We start from the raw sequence: 15,679 nt of genomic DNA, 5'->3' as shown, positions 1-15,679 counted from the left end.
TACTACATGAAAAAATATATAAATAAATATTTGAAGCAATGTATAATTATATGCCCCTAAAAGTAATACATGAGAGAAGTAAGTGATAGAGGACTTTGGAGAAAAAAAAAATGTGAGCAGAAGAAGGCTTTAAGGAAGCGTGCAGATAAAAGACGGAATGATACTCATAAAATGGATGCAAAAGCAGGAAAGTACCATACATTCTCATGGAATAATATTGGTCATAAAATTGTGACAAGAAGTGAGTTCCTTCACAGCAAACTCTAGGTCAAATTTACCTTTGCTTTACCAGTGTATGACTGATTCCTAACATCACAATAATTGGTGATCAGTAAATACTATTAGAGACAGACTAAGCCTCTCTCTCTCTTTCTCTCTCTTTATCTCTCTCTCTGTCTGTCTCTGTCTCTCTCTCTTTTGGATATACTCTTATTTTGGTGACATGAAACTTTTGTTAAACAAAATTTTGGTACCAAAACTAAAGTTTGGAAATGATGGTAGGGATGGGTGTAGGAAAAAATACCCACATAAATGCAGTAATTTTGGATTTGGGGCATTGTTTAAAAATAATTGTCTCACTTCATTTTGTGTAGGTGACCCACACCCTACCTATTTATTATATGGAAGAGTTTTTTTGCAAGAACAACATTCAGCATCATTAAAATCATGGCTTGCTTGATAAATAGTAATTATTCCTACAGATACCAAATATCAGCAACATTTTGCTATTTTGATATTTCAATCATTTAACATGATAGATTTTCTTGATAATTCTTTTTGCTAGTTTGTTCCCCTATTTATTCATAAATAATAAAGAAGAAAAATTTTCTAGGAGGAAGTAATATAGTTTCTTAGACCTGATATTTAAAATGTAGCACCATCTCACCATTACCTAAAATAGAAAATTTGAGGTAACTTTTTTACATCATATCATACATAGAAACAAAATTTTAAATATGATTTCTTAAGTTAAAAATGTATCTATATGACCCTTATAGTCTTCATATTTATATTCCAATCAGAAAGAGAAAAAGATAGCACCTTTATGTCAAGCTTGGTGTCCCTGTCTATTTTAACAATAGGGAAATTATAATGAAAGAATAACCCATCTGATTTGAAAATATAAACTTTAGAATCTGCCCGGAGTCTATTTGTTCCAGTTTCCAAATGGTTCACTTCAAGACAATATTTTTCACAGCAGAAAACATTAATTACCATCAAATGTATTCTGAAAAATTTCATTCTAATGCCATTTGCAATTGGTTCAGTGAAATTCTTATTTGAGTAGAGCTTTTTTGGTTCCAGATCAATGACTTGTTTAAGCAGTAATAAAAGGAAACCATGGCTGACTGGCTAATAGCCTTTCTTTGGGTTCGTATAGAGCACTTAAAGAAGAAAACAGTCCCAGATCAGTGACTGAGTAATAACGCTCAGTTTCCTCCCTCTTTCCTGGGAACCCACATTGTGCCTAGTCTGAGGAAATGTAAGTTCGGCTTTCATAACCACAGAGATTATTCCATTTCATGACTTTAATAACTTTCTGCTGCATTGATTCTACAATTGTTGCTCTGTGATGTTGGTACAAATGAATTTAAATGTGGGGATTGCGCTGAGTACACTTTAAGAGAATAAACATTCCATTACGTGATGATCAAGCCAATTTAAAACAATTTTGATGATTCATGACAAGATACCTACTGAATAGAAATAGGTGTATACAAAACAAAATCCACATTTCAGGCCCCTGGCTTATTTCTGGGGCTTTTAAAACTAATTAAAAAGAAAAACAAAAACAAAACACCTAGCTATAGTATTAAATATTTCAATATTCACTCTTTATTTCCACAGTTTTTCTTTATTTCACCATTTTTAAAGCCATTTTCTACTTCCAAATGTAAATTAAAGGTAATTTGGCATGGCCGGGTGCAGTACCTCACACCTGTAATCCCAGCACTTTGGGAGGCTGAGGGGGGCAGGTCACTTGAGGCCAATAATTCAAGACCAGCCTCGCCAACATGGCGAAACCCTGTCTCTCTGGGGAAAAGAAAGAAAAAAAAGTTAATTTGGAAAGTTTTGTAGATGTGACCTAATACTTAGAGCTAAATAATCTAACTTTAGTTCTTCATGTAGATATGAATCAATCAGTACCTGTCTACCTCTCTACCTCTCTTGAAATTGATGGCCATATTCAGCAGAACTGCTTGCTTAGTTGATCAGTGTGTTTTGGGTTGTTCTATTTTGATTTAATTATTTTACCTCTAAAACTAATAGCCTGAGCCAGGCACAGTGGCACATACCTGTTGTCCAAGCTACTCGGAAGCCTGAGGCAGGATGATGCTTTGAAGCCAGGAGTTCAAGGCTCGGGTGCACTACGATCATGCTTGTGAATAGCCACAGCACTCCAGTCTGGGCAACAGAGTAAGACTCAATCTCAAAACAAGACAAAACAAAGCAAACTAATAGCCTACGTTTTTGAGCTCTCATTGTCTGGATTTTTATTGATAACCAAATTTAGAGTACAGAGAATAAAAATCTGAACTTTATTGTTACACATTTAATAAAAATATTTATATCAGGAATGATCACTATAACTTGTTAATGAAAACATAAATTTTGATCAAATGAACACAAAATTTTATGGAACATTTTACTTTAAATTACAACCTAAACTTTTAAAATGCTATTTGTGATACCAAAAGATTTGTGTATCTATTACAATAATGATGAAAAACAATAGCCAATTTTGAAAATTAGCCACTTTTTATATATTCAAACATCGATCAATAGGAGGTATTATTTCTCAAGCTACATCTATTAATTCTATCACATAAAGTATCAATCAAAAATCTATTTTTCCCATATTCTCATTTCTTGTTTTGCCATAAATATCTTTAATTAAAACCCTCTTATTGTAGATGAAAGCTAGGCTCTTCTCTTTTCCACCCCTCAGTAAACACCTCTGCATTAACACACATTTCACGGACATCAGAAGCTTAAGCATGGAGTAAAAAATGACATGCATCAAGGAAAATATCTATCCTTGGCAACCACTTTGCCAAATACTGCATGTTATTTACATAGTATATGCAGTGGAAATCCCTATTGGCATAGTAAGAAATTAATCAGAACACAAGTGTTTGAGAGAACAGCTCCCAGAAAAAAAAAAAAAAAGGAATTTAACACTATAAATGAATATAATTCCCTATACCAGACAGGCTATTTTACTCTCATTCCCTGGCTGAGGATGTTTTACCTAATGGCACAGCATGACTGTGATATTTGGAATTACATTTCATGAATCTTTTGTTTCTCTATTAGAAGCACATGCCACATCTCTGCTAGAACAACATCACCATTAAAATAAATTGTGTCATATTTAGAATGACTTAAAGTGTTTTTACCAATTCTTTACAGTCATTTATATGCAGAGAGTAACTGATCTATTTTATCAGGCCAGGGATCAGAGATGTCTTATTGGTCAGTTATTTGATAATTATGATTTAAATGCATTTCAAAAAGTACTTAAGTATTTTAAAGGGATGCATTTTCCAAGACTTGTGTTTAGTGGCGAAATCCTAAGTAAACTGCCTGCCTTGACAGGCTTAACTATTACACTTGACAACGTTGGAGTTCTTGTTATGTGCTCATTAACATCCTACATACTCATCTTTAAGTATAGCACACTAAGTGTTCAATTATGTCAAAATCCAATGCATTTTCCAAATCTCAGCTATTTACTCTATCAGGAATATAAGGTTTTACATTTTTCCTGTTACTTGAGGATAAAATAAGAATAATGGTAAAAAACAAAAACACAAAAAGATTTTTTTAAAAACCCAGTATTGGCCACTGCTAAATTTGTGAAATAGGAAGTTAATTTTTCCCAGTCTTATATCTGAGTGTAATATTTGTCCCTGAAGTTAGTTAGACATTCCCTCCTTCACTGGTCTCATTAAGGTTTAAAAGAAGTATTTCATAGCAATGTAGAATTATTGAAATTAAATGTGCCATGTGTATGTAGAGGTTATAGGATTGTGGTAGACCCTTCTTCTGAAATCTTTGTAAATTAGTCATGATTTCCTGTTGAGAACTTGCCCTTGTTCTCCATTGTTGTTCCTTCTTTGGTTCACATGCCTTCCTCGGCACCCCATGTACACTCTCTTCTTCCTTCTAGGTTTAGCCATCCTTGACCTTACTTGTCAGTGCTTTCATCCACTGCCCTCCTTTTTTTGTTATGTACGTATCAAGTGCCAATTATAGAGACTCAATTTAAACCCTGCCTATGGCAGTGTGAACCAGATGGTGGAAATTATCCAAAGTTTAATCAACCCAATAGGAGACAGTAAATTACTGTGGGATGAGCTCGAGATTAACCATGATGAGGTCTTGACTTTGACACTAGGTGGCTGTGTATGGCATTAAAAAGCAAGTGAATATCTGTAATTCTCAGATTTTCCATGTAAAACTGAAGTAATAATAGTAATTACCCAATCCACAAGATTGCCTTGAAAACCAGTACTAAGTATGGCAGGTAATGCAAAGGAACATTTCTTAAATTATGTCTAATTTTACAACAATCCAAAAAATCCTTAATATATATCTAGTTGTCTCCAAGACAACTAACTCAGAGCCACAATTTTCATCCACCAGCTCCAACAAATCCTCCTCTTATACATTGCGTTCTCTCCCCATATGAGATAACATGCATGGAAGCACTTTGCAAGATTTGGTAAAACATTTTATTATTTTGATAAGTTCATCTGGGTCTAGACAAACCTGGCCCTGAAAGGCATGAAGAACAGGACCATGCCCTATCTCTTTACAGAACAGGACAGGTTGGCAAAGATCCCAACACTGAGTCAGAGTAATTGCCTTCCTGTCCCATCATATGCATCATGAAACCCAAATCTAAGCAGTGTGTTACATATAAACTTTGAAGATGCACATGAATTTCAAGTGACTTACATAAATAAGGCAGAACATATATGAAAGAGAGATTAAGGAAGAGGGTATGGCTATCAACACTGTCATAGATGTAGAGACACTTAATTATCCCTCCCAAAATCTGATTTCTAGTTTATTGGGGGTAAATAATCTCAGTATTATATGCCTTTCATAATAGAAAAGAATATATTTATTCCAGTTTTCTGCATTCTTCAAATGAGATTACTTTTCTTCTTTTGGTCTTGTTTTAAAACATAATAATGGTAACAAGAATTAGATACAATTAGAATGCTTAAAATAGTTGATTTTTTACATTACTTTAGAATTTGTTTCTAATAAATGAAACAACAAAGTATGTTAAGAATTTTATAAAGTTAATCTACCTACTTAAAGTGTCAGACTCTGAGCTGGAAGACCTCTGCTCTGTTGTTTTAATAAATTTGCCTTAATCATTACCCGTCTCAACCTGGCTTCTGCGCAATGTTGGCTACCAGATCGGGGCATTGATTAAGCATTTATTAAGCAAATGAAGTTTCATTTTGTCTCCCTTTCCTTACTATCCATGTGCAGAATAGTGAAGCTTCCCCTTAAGACTACCAAAAAATAAATAAATAAAATGAAAAAAAAAGGAAAATCAAGAATTGCAGAATTAAATGATTTACTAGCCTTTCTTGTTAGAGAGTGGTAAATATTGAATTTGTTTTATTTTAAGTAAACATTTTCTACAGTAGGGATTTTATATCTTAGTTTATGAAACCTATTTATAAAAGATATTTGACAAAAAAATTTCCTTTGTACAAATAATTTTAGGGAAGTGCTGTGCACTATCTTGCTTTCTTGAAGATTCACAAAGGCCATAAGAATGCTAAAGAAATTTTGAGAAGTTCTTATCTATTTTTTTTTCCAATTTTCTTTTTTACTTTTACGTTCAGGGGAACAAGTGCAGGTTTGTTACACAGGTAAACTCGTGTCATGGAGGTTGGTTGTACAGATTATTTTATCACCCAGCTATTAAGCCTAGTACTCACAAGTGATTTTTCCTGATTCCCCTCCCTCCTACCACTCTCCACCCTCCGAAAGGCCCCAGTGTGTGTTGTTTCCCTCTGTGTGTCCATGTGCTCTCATCATTTAGCTTTCACTTATAAGTGAGAACATACAGAATTTGATTTTCTGTTCTTGTGTTAGTTTGCTAAGGTTAATGGTCTCCAGCTCCATCCATGTCCCTGCAAATGTCATGATCTTATTATTTTTTGTTACTGCATAGTATTCTATGGTATATATGTACCACCTTTTCTTTAGTCAGTCTATCATTGATGGACATTTAGGTTGATTCAATGTCTTTCCTATTTTGAATAGCGCTGCAATGAAAAAACGTGTGCATGTGTCTTTATAATAGAATGATTTATATTCCTTTGGGTATATACCGAGTAGCGGAATTGCTGGGTCAAATTGTATTTCTGTCTTTAGGTCTTTGAGAAATTACCACACTGTCTTCCACATAGTTTAACTAATTTACATTCCCACCAACAGTCTATAAGTGTTCATTTTTTCCCACAAACTGTCCAATATCTGTTATTTTTTGACTTTTTACTAATAGCCATTCTGACTGGTGTCAGATGGTACCTTTTGCAAATTATGCATCTGACAAAGATCCAATATCCAGCTTCTATAAAGAACTTAAATTTATAAGAAAAAGAATAAACAACCCCACAAAAAAGTGGGCAAAGGACATGAACACTTTTCAAAAGGTGACATACATGCGGCCAACAATCACATGAAAAAAAGCTCAACATCACTGATCATTAGAGCTCTTATCTACTTAACTGTATTTTTCCTTTACTTAAACTGCAGCATTTACCCTAACATGACTCTAAAATTTACTTGCCAAAATTTGTATTCTAAGAAATGTAATTGAAAATTCGCTGGCATATGGTATTATCTCTCTGAAATAAACATTGTATTACTGATGATTTCCCATTGCTTTCCTTTTCAGCGGACTGTGGAGGACCTTTTGAGCTGTGGGAGCCAAATACAACATTCAGTTCTACGAACTTTCCAAACAGCTACCCTAATCTGGCTTTCTGTGAGTCATTTCTTTTCCAGGTCATCAGAAACAAATGTCCATATGAAATGTAGATCTCCCCTTGACGCAGCAAAGTAGATTATAAATTTGTCAAACATGGGTACGCCTATCATGTCTACCTATAAGATTGCTTAATATAACAACAAAAATAACAATAATTGCTAAATATATATAGCATTTGTTTCATGCCAGGCACTGTGTTAATGCCCAATATACATTATTTCATTCATTTCCCACAAGAACTTCTTGAAGCAGGTGTCATTATTATAATTCCAAATTTAGAAGTTGAATAACAACAGTGAGAGAACCAGTGTTACTCCAGACACCGCTTTCTAAATCACTCTCCTTGTTTGTGCATATAATGTCTATAGTGTGTTTAACAAGTTTGCAATTTCATAGGACAAAGACAATGGAAAGTATTAAAAAGTAAAGAACCAGTTGTAGCATTCACACTTTTTGCAAATATACACTAGAGCCAATAAAGCAGATAGCTACAGTAATGTAATTATTTCCAGTATAAAAAATAAAATTATAAGAAAGATCACTAAAAAATTTGTCTAGAGAAAATAGTTTGCTAAAACTGCATAAAGACTACCTCTACATCAATGTTCCTAAATAGATAAACTCATATAAAGATACATAAAGATTGTGTTGGAGATGCAGATTCCCTAGCCCATCCTACAAAGGTTCCACTTCAGGAGTCTGGACTGGGTAACAAACATCTTTCCATGGTCGTGCCTTGTTAAGGCCACTAAGCTAAATGGAAAATTCTGTCAATGAAAGAAATGCCTCAGTGGTGGGAAAAATGTGTCTTCAGAAAAAGCCAACCTTGCTCCTTCAGATGATCAAGAGATAAGAGAGCATCACTTTCATAGGTGCATATAGGGCCAATATTGTAGACAAATACCTCATCCCCAAAAAATAAACAGCAACTAATCTAATTTGACTTCTTTGGGGAAACAGAGTTATCTCTGCTTCACACTGAAGACATCTTTTTTTTTTTTTTTTTTTGAGATGGAGTCTCGCTCTGTCGCCCAGGCTGGAGTGCAGTGGTGCGATCTCGGCTCACTGCAAGCTCCGCCTCCCGGGTTCACGCCATTCTCCTGCCTTGGCCTCCCGAGTAGCTGGGACTACAGGCGCCCGCCACCAGGCCCCGCTAATTTTTTTGTATTTTTAGTAGAGACGGGGTTTCACCGTGTTAGCCAGGATGGTCTCGATCTGCTGACTTCATGATCTGCCCTTCTCGGCCTCCCAAAGTGCTGGGATTACAGGCTTGAGCCACCGTGCCCGGCCTGAAGACATCTTTTAAACATCATTTGAACAAAGTGATAATCTGAAAAATCCAACAAGAAGTGGAACATTTAAACAATTTGGAGAAATTTATTAAATTTAAAAATGTTTGTTTATTTGACGAATGTGTATTCAATACTTTATTTCCTTAATCTGAAGTAAGTAAAGAAGACACAAATGTAGCACAGTATAGATGGTGACTCAGATATGTTGTCAGGCACAAAATGTCCAAAATACTGTTATAATAAGGGTAAAGGCAGGACTCTGTGGAGAGTCCTTGACATACCAAAGTAGGAGACAACTGTTTCTTGAATCTCCAAGAAAAATTAAATAATGGTAATGGGTAAAATTAGAAGTGTGAAAGAATTTTACACCATGTTATGAAGTTTGAATTTATTCTGAGAGCACTGGAGAGTCTTTGAATGGTTTACAGGAAAATGGCGATAAAAACGAGCTTGCATTTTAGATCAGAGATCGATGGTAAGGGATGAGAATCATCAGCATCGCCAATTAGGAGATGAGAAACTATAGTGATTTGAACTCCTGTTGTGGTGGCAAGGGACGTTGAGAAGTAAATGGGGTTCAAAGGATGTTGGAGGTAGTAATAACAGGCTTAGGTGATTGATCGGATGTGGTAGGAGAAAGGAGGTCAAGGAAGGTGCTGAGGTTTCAAGCATAGAGAACTATGAGTGGATGATTAGTAGTGCCACTGAGATAGGAAGAATAAGATAAATGAGTTTGCAAAAGAGATAATTCTGCTTTTTCTTTAGAACATGTTGGATTTGAAATATGTACAGCCATATACAGTAAATAAGTCAATAAATTTGCCTGCATCTGAGAAAAGAGCAGAAAATAAAGACAGAAATTTTACTATATAAATATAATTATATTTCTTAAGAGTGAATGAGAAAACTAATACAGAATGAGAGAAGAATAGCCTAGAAAAAAATCTGAAGGTTGAATTATTTACAAAATCAATAAAAACAAGAAGTGTTTATTGATGCTGGTAGTCTTGTTTTATTTTGTTTTTTTAATGAACTAAATGTAAATAAATGCAAAAATTTTAAAATAAATATTAAAGCTTACTTGTCCTATAAAGTGGATTTTAATTACCTAATTTTCTTCTAAATTTGATCATGGAAAATTAAATAAATGAAACTATAATTTTAGTATCCTTTGATATTCATAAATGTTATATTGTAGAGGTAAAATAATATTTGTAAACTTTGATTAAAGTATTCCATTTCATAAAAATATCAATTATACTAATTTCAAATTTAATTGAAATGTTACTATAAATATAATTGACTAAACCAATATATTTTCTTACCAAAAAAAAAATAATGAAAAGAAAAAAGAAACACCTTGAAACACTGATTTTCATGAAGTGGAAAAAAAATTGATTTTTTTTTAAGTTATTTGAAATTCTCAAGAGAGTGAAGCTTTTAAGAGAAATCACCAAGTGTGTTCCAAATTAAATGTTACTTCTTACTTTTTAGGTGTTTGGATTTTAAATGCACAAAAAGGAAAGAATATACAACTTCATTTTCAAGAATTTGACTTAGAAAATATTAACGATGTAGTTGAAATAAGAGATGGTGAAGAAGCTGATTCCTTGCTCTTAGGTAAGTCTGCAATCTGAATATTGTAAAGGTTGTAAAGCTCAAGATGTTGTGCTGATGGAAAGAGCGTTTCTTAATTAATGTAATCACTCTTTTACAACTTGCAAAATGAAAATACAATAGTAAAGTGACATGAGTTTATGTGGAACTTACAATATAGGGTATATTTAAAATAGTGACAACGGAATATTTTTCTTGAACGTTCTTCACAAAGCAGGACTAATTATTTTTACTTTTTAAATTTGTTCTTAATTTTCATGGGTACATAGTAGGTGTGTGTATTTATGGGATACATGAGATATTTTGATACAGGCCTACAATGCATAATAATCACATCAGTGTGAATACTGTATCCATCACCTCAAGCATTTTTCCTGTCTTTGTGTTACAACCCAATTATATTCTTTTAGTTATTTTTAAATATGCAGTAACTTATTATTGGCTGTGGTCACCCTATTGTGCTATCAAATACTAGATCTTATTCATTCTAACTATATTTTTGTATCCATTGATCATCCTCACTCCACCACCCCTCCCAGTAGCCTTTCCAGCCACTTGTAACCATCATTCTACTCTCTATCTCCATGAGTTTAACTATTTTGGACAATATTTTTGAGTCATCAGTTCCTACCAGCTGGTATTAATTGACTACCACAAGCACTACCCATTGGAGACTAGAAGCTAAGGACACCCATTATGTAGTTCTCTTTATGTGTACATCGGATGTCCAAAGATAGCTCTTAAATCAGTTTTTATTTTACTTCAAACTATTCAAATTGTGTTATACAAAATTTTTAATGAGTTTTACTTTACATTTTATTATTACTTTGGCTGTGTCTCTAGTACTAGCTGCTTCTGTGTAGGTACCTGAGAATGCTTCAAAAAATTGACCAGTTTATTTTTCTTTTTTATTTATTGATTATTTTAAAATAAGGCTAGGGAGAGTGTACTCTTGTAGAGGAAATTTTTGTGCTATTACAGAGTGTACTATTATAGAGGAAATTTTGTGTATTCTATAGATAATAGAATACATGCTGACACACTAAAAAGCTATCAGTCAAACATAATAGCTAATATGTTATCTAACTACCACTATTTTTTGCTGTTGCTGTTGTTGTTGAGATGGAGCCTCGCTCTGTCACCCAGGCTGGAGTGCAGTGGTGCGATCTCAGCTCACTGAAACCTCTATCTCCTTGGTTTAAGCGATCCTCCTGCCTCAGCCTCCAGAGTAGATTGGATTACAGGCGCCCACCACCTCGCCCGGCTAATTTTTTGTATTTTTAGTAGAGACGGGGTTTCACCATGTTGGCCACACTGGTCATTTTTAAGAAAAAGGTGTCTCTTGATAAGTCACACATTAAATAAAGATGCTCAAATGATCAATTTTGATGAATGACATGGCACAACTAAAAAGTGTTTTATCGCCCTCCCACACACAAAAAAAGTGTTTTATCTAACTGTGCTTTGGACTTGTATTCATCATGTATTGTAAAATCTGATCTAATAGATATGCAGTCAGGATACAATCACATGAATGCTGCAACTAATCAATGAATACTCCAGAGAAAATTTTCTAGAGCACATCAAGGGACAGTGTGGTGGGGAGGGTTCCCCAACCTTTTCATCAGTCAACCCTTATGTAGAATTCTACAGCAAAATCTCACAAAGTTCTAGAGTGTGAGCTTCCTGGGAGAGGATTTTGGGAGCCACACATAGAACAAATAAAGAAAATTTTGTTGGGACTAGAAGAGTGGCAAGAACTGAGGAATCTGAAATTTGGTTCTTTTATACACCTATAAAAAATTTTAAATAGTTTTTCTATTTTAGATCAAATTATTCTTCAAATAAAAACTTCAGAGTTCTCATCATCTAAAAAATTAAAACGTATCATTTCATCTGTTAATAGTTAAACAAATCATTGAAAAGTAAATAAGAATTCCAGAAAGATCTCTGATTTATTGTTTTAAAATTTGTAGGCAGGAAGGTCTTTTGAAACTGAATCACTTTCAGGGCTTCCAACATATAAAACTTTCTTAATAAATGTATTTTTTAATTAGCTGAAATATAGTAAAGAATGTTTTATTGTTTATGAAATCCCCAAAGCTGAGGGATTAAGGGCAAAAGGTTTAAAAGCCACCATGTAGTTAATATTCCCAATCTCCAAATAATCCATCCTTCAGATTAGGTTTATGATTCCACATACAAAAAAATACTGAATATGTTTGGTCAAAAATTTAGTAAAGGTGACTATAAACTCCATTGTTTTATAAAGGTCTTTATAAGTAGTCAGTCATTTGTCTGGGATAACATGAGCTTTGAATAGCAGTGGTACTAAGTCAGATATATTATAAGTAATTCATCATTACATTATAGAGTTGCACAAACCTCAAGAAATATCAAAATTTAAAGAGAAGTTTGCTTTGTTGAGAAGTGTTCAAAATGTAAGAGAATGTGTGTGTTCATTTACTTGTGGCTGCTCTATGAGCGAGCCATGTAACATGTAGCCCTACGTCTGGCAGAGGGAACTGAGATGTGGGGTACATTTCCTTCTAGATCCAAAGGATCATCTCACTGATTATCTCGTTTTCCTTTGGAACAGCTGTGTACACAGGGCCTGGCCCAGTAAAGGATGTGTTCTCTACCACCAACAGAATGACTGTGCTTCTCATCACTAACGATGTGTTGGCAAGAGGAGGGTTTAAAGCAAACTTTACTACTGGCTATCACTTGGGGATTCCAGGTAGGAGCCCATAAATCACACATTGCATCATAACTTTTGGAGCAAAACAGCAAAGGTGTACAGAATTTCAAGGCCAAAATCATGATTTTAATGCTTTCCTTCTGTGACACTTATTCTTCCTCATCTTAATGAAGATGATTTTTCCTCCTTTACATCTGTAGTACCGTTACCTGAGTTCGTTCAAAGTAGGCAGCCACAAAAGTTTTTAAGCAGACCTACTTGGATTTCTCTGATGTGTAAGGAGTGTTGAATTTTGTTCATTGAAGAGGGCCATGTTAAATGTTAAAAGTAGGATACTTGACCCTCTAAGGAAAGAAGACTGTCATGTTTCCCATATCAAGAACATTTTCAGAGAGCAAAGAAGGAAACAGGCAAGAGAGCTGTTGGCATGCCAACAACATTCAATTAAATAATTAACATCATTAACTTATTGGAGACAACCAGAGTAAAGCACCACAGTGTAGGAATTTAATGCTATTTGCTGACGTGCCCAACCCTCCGACACTAGGTGTTTTAGTATATCCATAAAATAATCAACAGGAGCAAACAAAATAGCGGCATGTTCATCATGGATATATGTATATATGTGTGTGTATATATATGGATATATGTGAATATGGATATATATATTCATATATCTAGTATTTGCATATATTTGCATTCAACAATCTGCAGAGAATTTTTTTGTAACTTGATACTTCACTTGGACTATGAATTGTCTCATAGAACTGCCCGGCAACTCAGTGGTTCTTTCCAGGTGCAAATATGTCAGAAAAACAGAATATATGCTACTTCCTACATCTCTCTTTCTCTTCCATAGGAAGAGAAATATTTATGGAATTGATGTATTTCACTTGAATATCTAGAAAAGAGGTAGGGTTGGATAGTTCATCTTCATCTGGCCTATTATCTAATACAAAATCCAGTTACTATTAGGTTATGTTTATCTTTGTTCCTCCACTCACAACTGACCAGGGCTTTTGACACCATCCCAGAAAGCTGCCTGCCTTAATCTTTATGGCAGATAAAGAGGTCTACCATCTGGCCCTGAAAATGAAGCACAACTGATATTATGCATGCTACTTAGGTAGAAGTAAGTGGTAGCTCAATCGATTAATCTGGATTTTGTGACTGATTTTAGAAGCCAATCTGTTTACTTACAAGCAACAGTGACATGGATCAATAAAAAACAATGAGTAAATACTTTGAGATCTACACAAAATTATAATTTATCTTAGAGTACACTAAAAAGAAGAAATACAGAAAATGACATGATTTTGTTAGGTAAAGAACAAAATACATTGAGATGCAAATATCAATAGATATGTATTTACATAAGCGTGTGTGTGTGTGTGTGTGGCGAGAATTTAACTTAGAAGAAAATTTGATCATTGCTTTGGAAAATGTTAATCAAGATAATTTTGAAAATGTCATCTTGAATTGAATCACTGATTTTGTTTCTTGATTATTTTGTTGCTGATGATTATACTATAACCATGTTTGTTTGCCAATTATTTTATCTGCTATTTCAGTTTCCTTCTGTTTGTGGTGTACCTATTATTTTAATTTAATTCAACATTTGAGTTACACTTTTAAAGTATAGAAGGGTGATGGACATAGCTGAGGACATTTTGGTAGTTAATACTGAGCACATTTAAGATACAGCAGACTTTGGTTATGTAATGTTGGAGAAAAGCTAAATCTTTCTTACTGTTATATAGAAAGTAAATTAGTTAATAGCAAACTTTAGTTGACAGAAAAACACAAAATGTTACCACCAATACTTTTATATGTAAAATTATGACCCTAATTTTTTAAATTATTATATAATATTTGGCTCCTGATAGAATAGTCTTTGCACAGTACCAGCTCCCACAAGTGACGTTACAATAAAGTCTCCTTTCAAGAAATTTGGAAGAAGATGGCCGTCTTTGGCCATAGCAATTTTCTGTGAAACTCTGCCATAATAAAATCTTTCTGATTTGACTAGAGGCCTTTGTTAGCAGTGTGAACCACCTAGTTTTCTGGTCTAATGCACAACAATTCAAAACCTCTTGTGCAGAACACACACATTTCCACAAAAATTGCTGCAGGAAAGCATGATGAAGAATGAAAAAATGATAAGTAAAGAGAGACAGAAACATATGAGAGTCTGTAATGGGCATGCAGGAAAAAACACCAAACCAAATTTGAAAACAATAAACATTCCTGAAATTGAAAACATAAAAGCAGATCAAAACTAATAGTGAAAGATACAATGAAAGAAAAATTATACGCTTTCTGGATCTGAATAAAATTACCTGAAAAATCGTGAAGTCTTAGTGTGTTCAATAAAAAAAAAATTAATGAGCAAGAATCAGTGTTATAACATTTTCTGTGTGAAGTTTTAAATTTCAAGAGGGAAATTTTTCTGAAAATTCTTAGCAGAAAAAGTAAAATTATTTTTGTAAGTATTGAAAATAAGATCAGCTTTATATTTCTCTCAATTATGAACATTAAAACAATGAAGTAATATTTCTCATGTTTTAAGGAGAAAATCCCACAACTAAAAAATATACAAGGTTCAATAACTGCTTGTTTAAATGCAGTAAAATTATGTACTCTCTTCTGCAAAATATCATAAAATAGAGCAAGTAAATACCTAATGCCTAATACTATTCTACTGGAGGCCATCCTAAATTTTTTTCAAGAATTCTGTCAAGGAAAGGATTTTTGAAAGAAGTATTATACTTTTAAAGAAACTGAGATAAATAGTAAAACCTGAAGTAATTGAGATTTTTTAAAAAAATACTGTGCTCTAACAGATAAGGGATTAGATTTATTGAGGTATCCAAACAATTGAAATAATTATAGGTGATTTGGTTTAGCTGTGTCCCCACCCAGATCTCACCTTGAATTGTAATGATCCCCATGTGTTGTGGGAGGGACCTGGTGGGAGGTAATTGAGTAATGGGGGTGGGTTTTTCCTGTGCTGTTCTCATGATAATGAGTAAGTCTCAT

The 15,679-nt window shown here is 33.8% G+C and overlaps 1 protein-coding gene across 8 annotated transcripts in view; it reads left to right on the top strand.

Annotated features, from left to right (window-relative positions):
• TMPRSS15 (transmembrane serine protease 15) overlaps positions 1-15,679 on the top strand; it is a 216,769-nt gene that overhangs the window by 146,774 nt on the left and 54,316 nt on the right. For all 8 annotated transcript variants that reach the window (NM_001428057.1, NM_001428056.1, XM_047440913.1 and 5 more), the window contains 3 exons: positions 6,938-7,027; positions 9,817-9,942; positions 12,539-12,679. In NM_001428057.1, the coding sequence (NP_001414986.1) occupies positions 6,938-7,027; positions 9,817-9,942; positions 12,539-12,679 (357 nt within the window). The remainder of the gene's footprint in view (positions 1-6,937; positions 7,028-9,816; positions 9,943-12,538; positions 12,680-15,679) is intronic.

The sequence above is a fragment of the Homo sapiens genome, chromosome 21, assembly GCF_000001405.40.
Source record: "Homo sapiens chromosome 21, GRCh38.p14 Primary Assembly".
In the NCBI taxonomy this organism is placed as follows: Eukaryota; Metazoa; Chordata; class Mammalia; order Primates; family Hominidae; genus Homo; species Homo sapiens.
The sequence above is the reverse complement of the archived record's forward strand: the minus strand, read 5'-3'. Positions and strand labels throughout refer to the sequence as shown.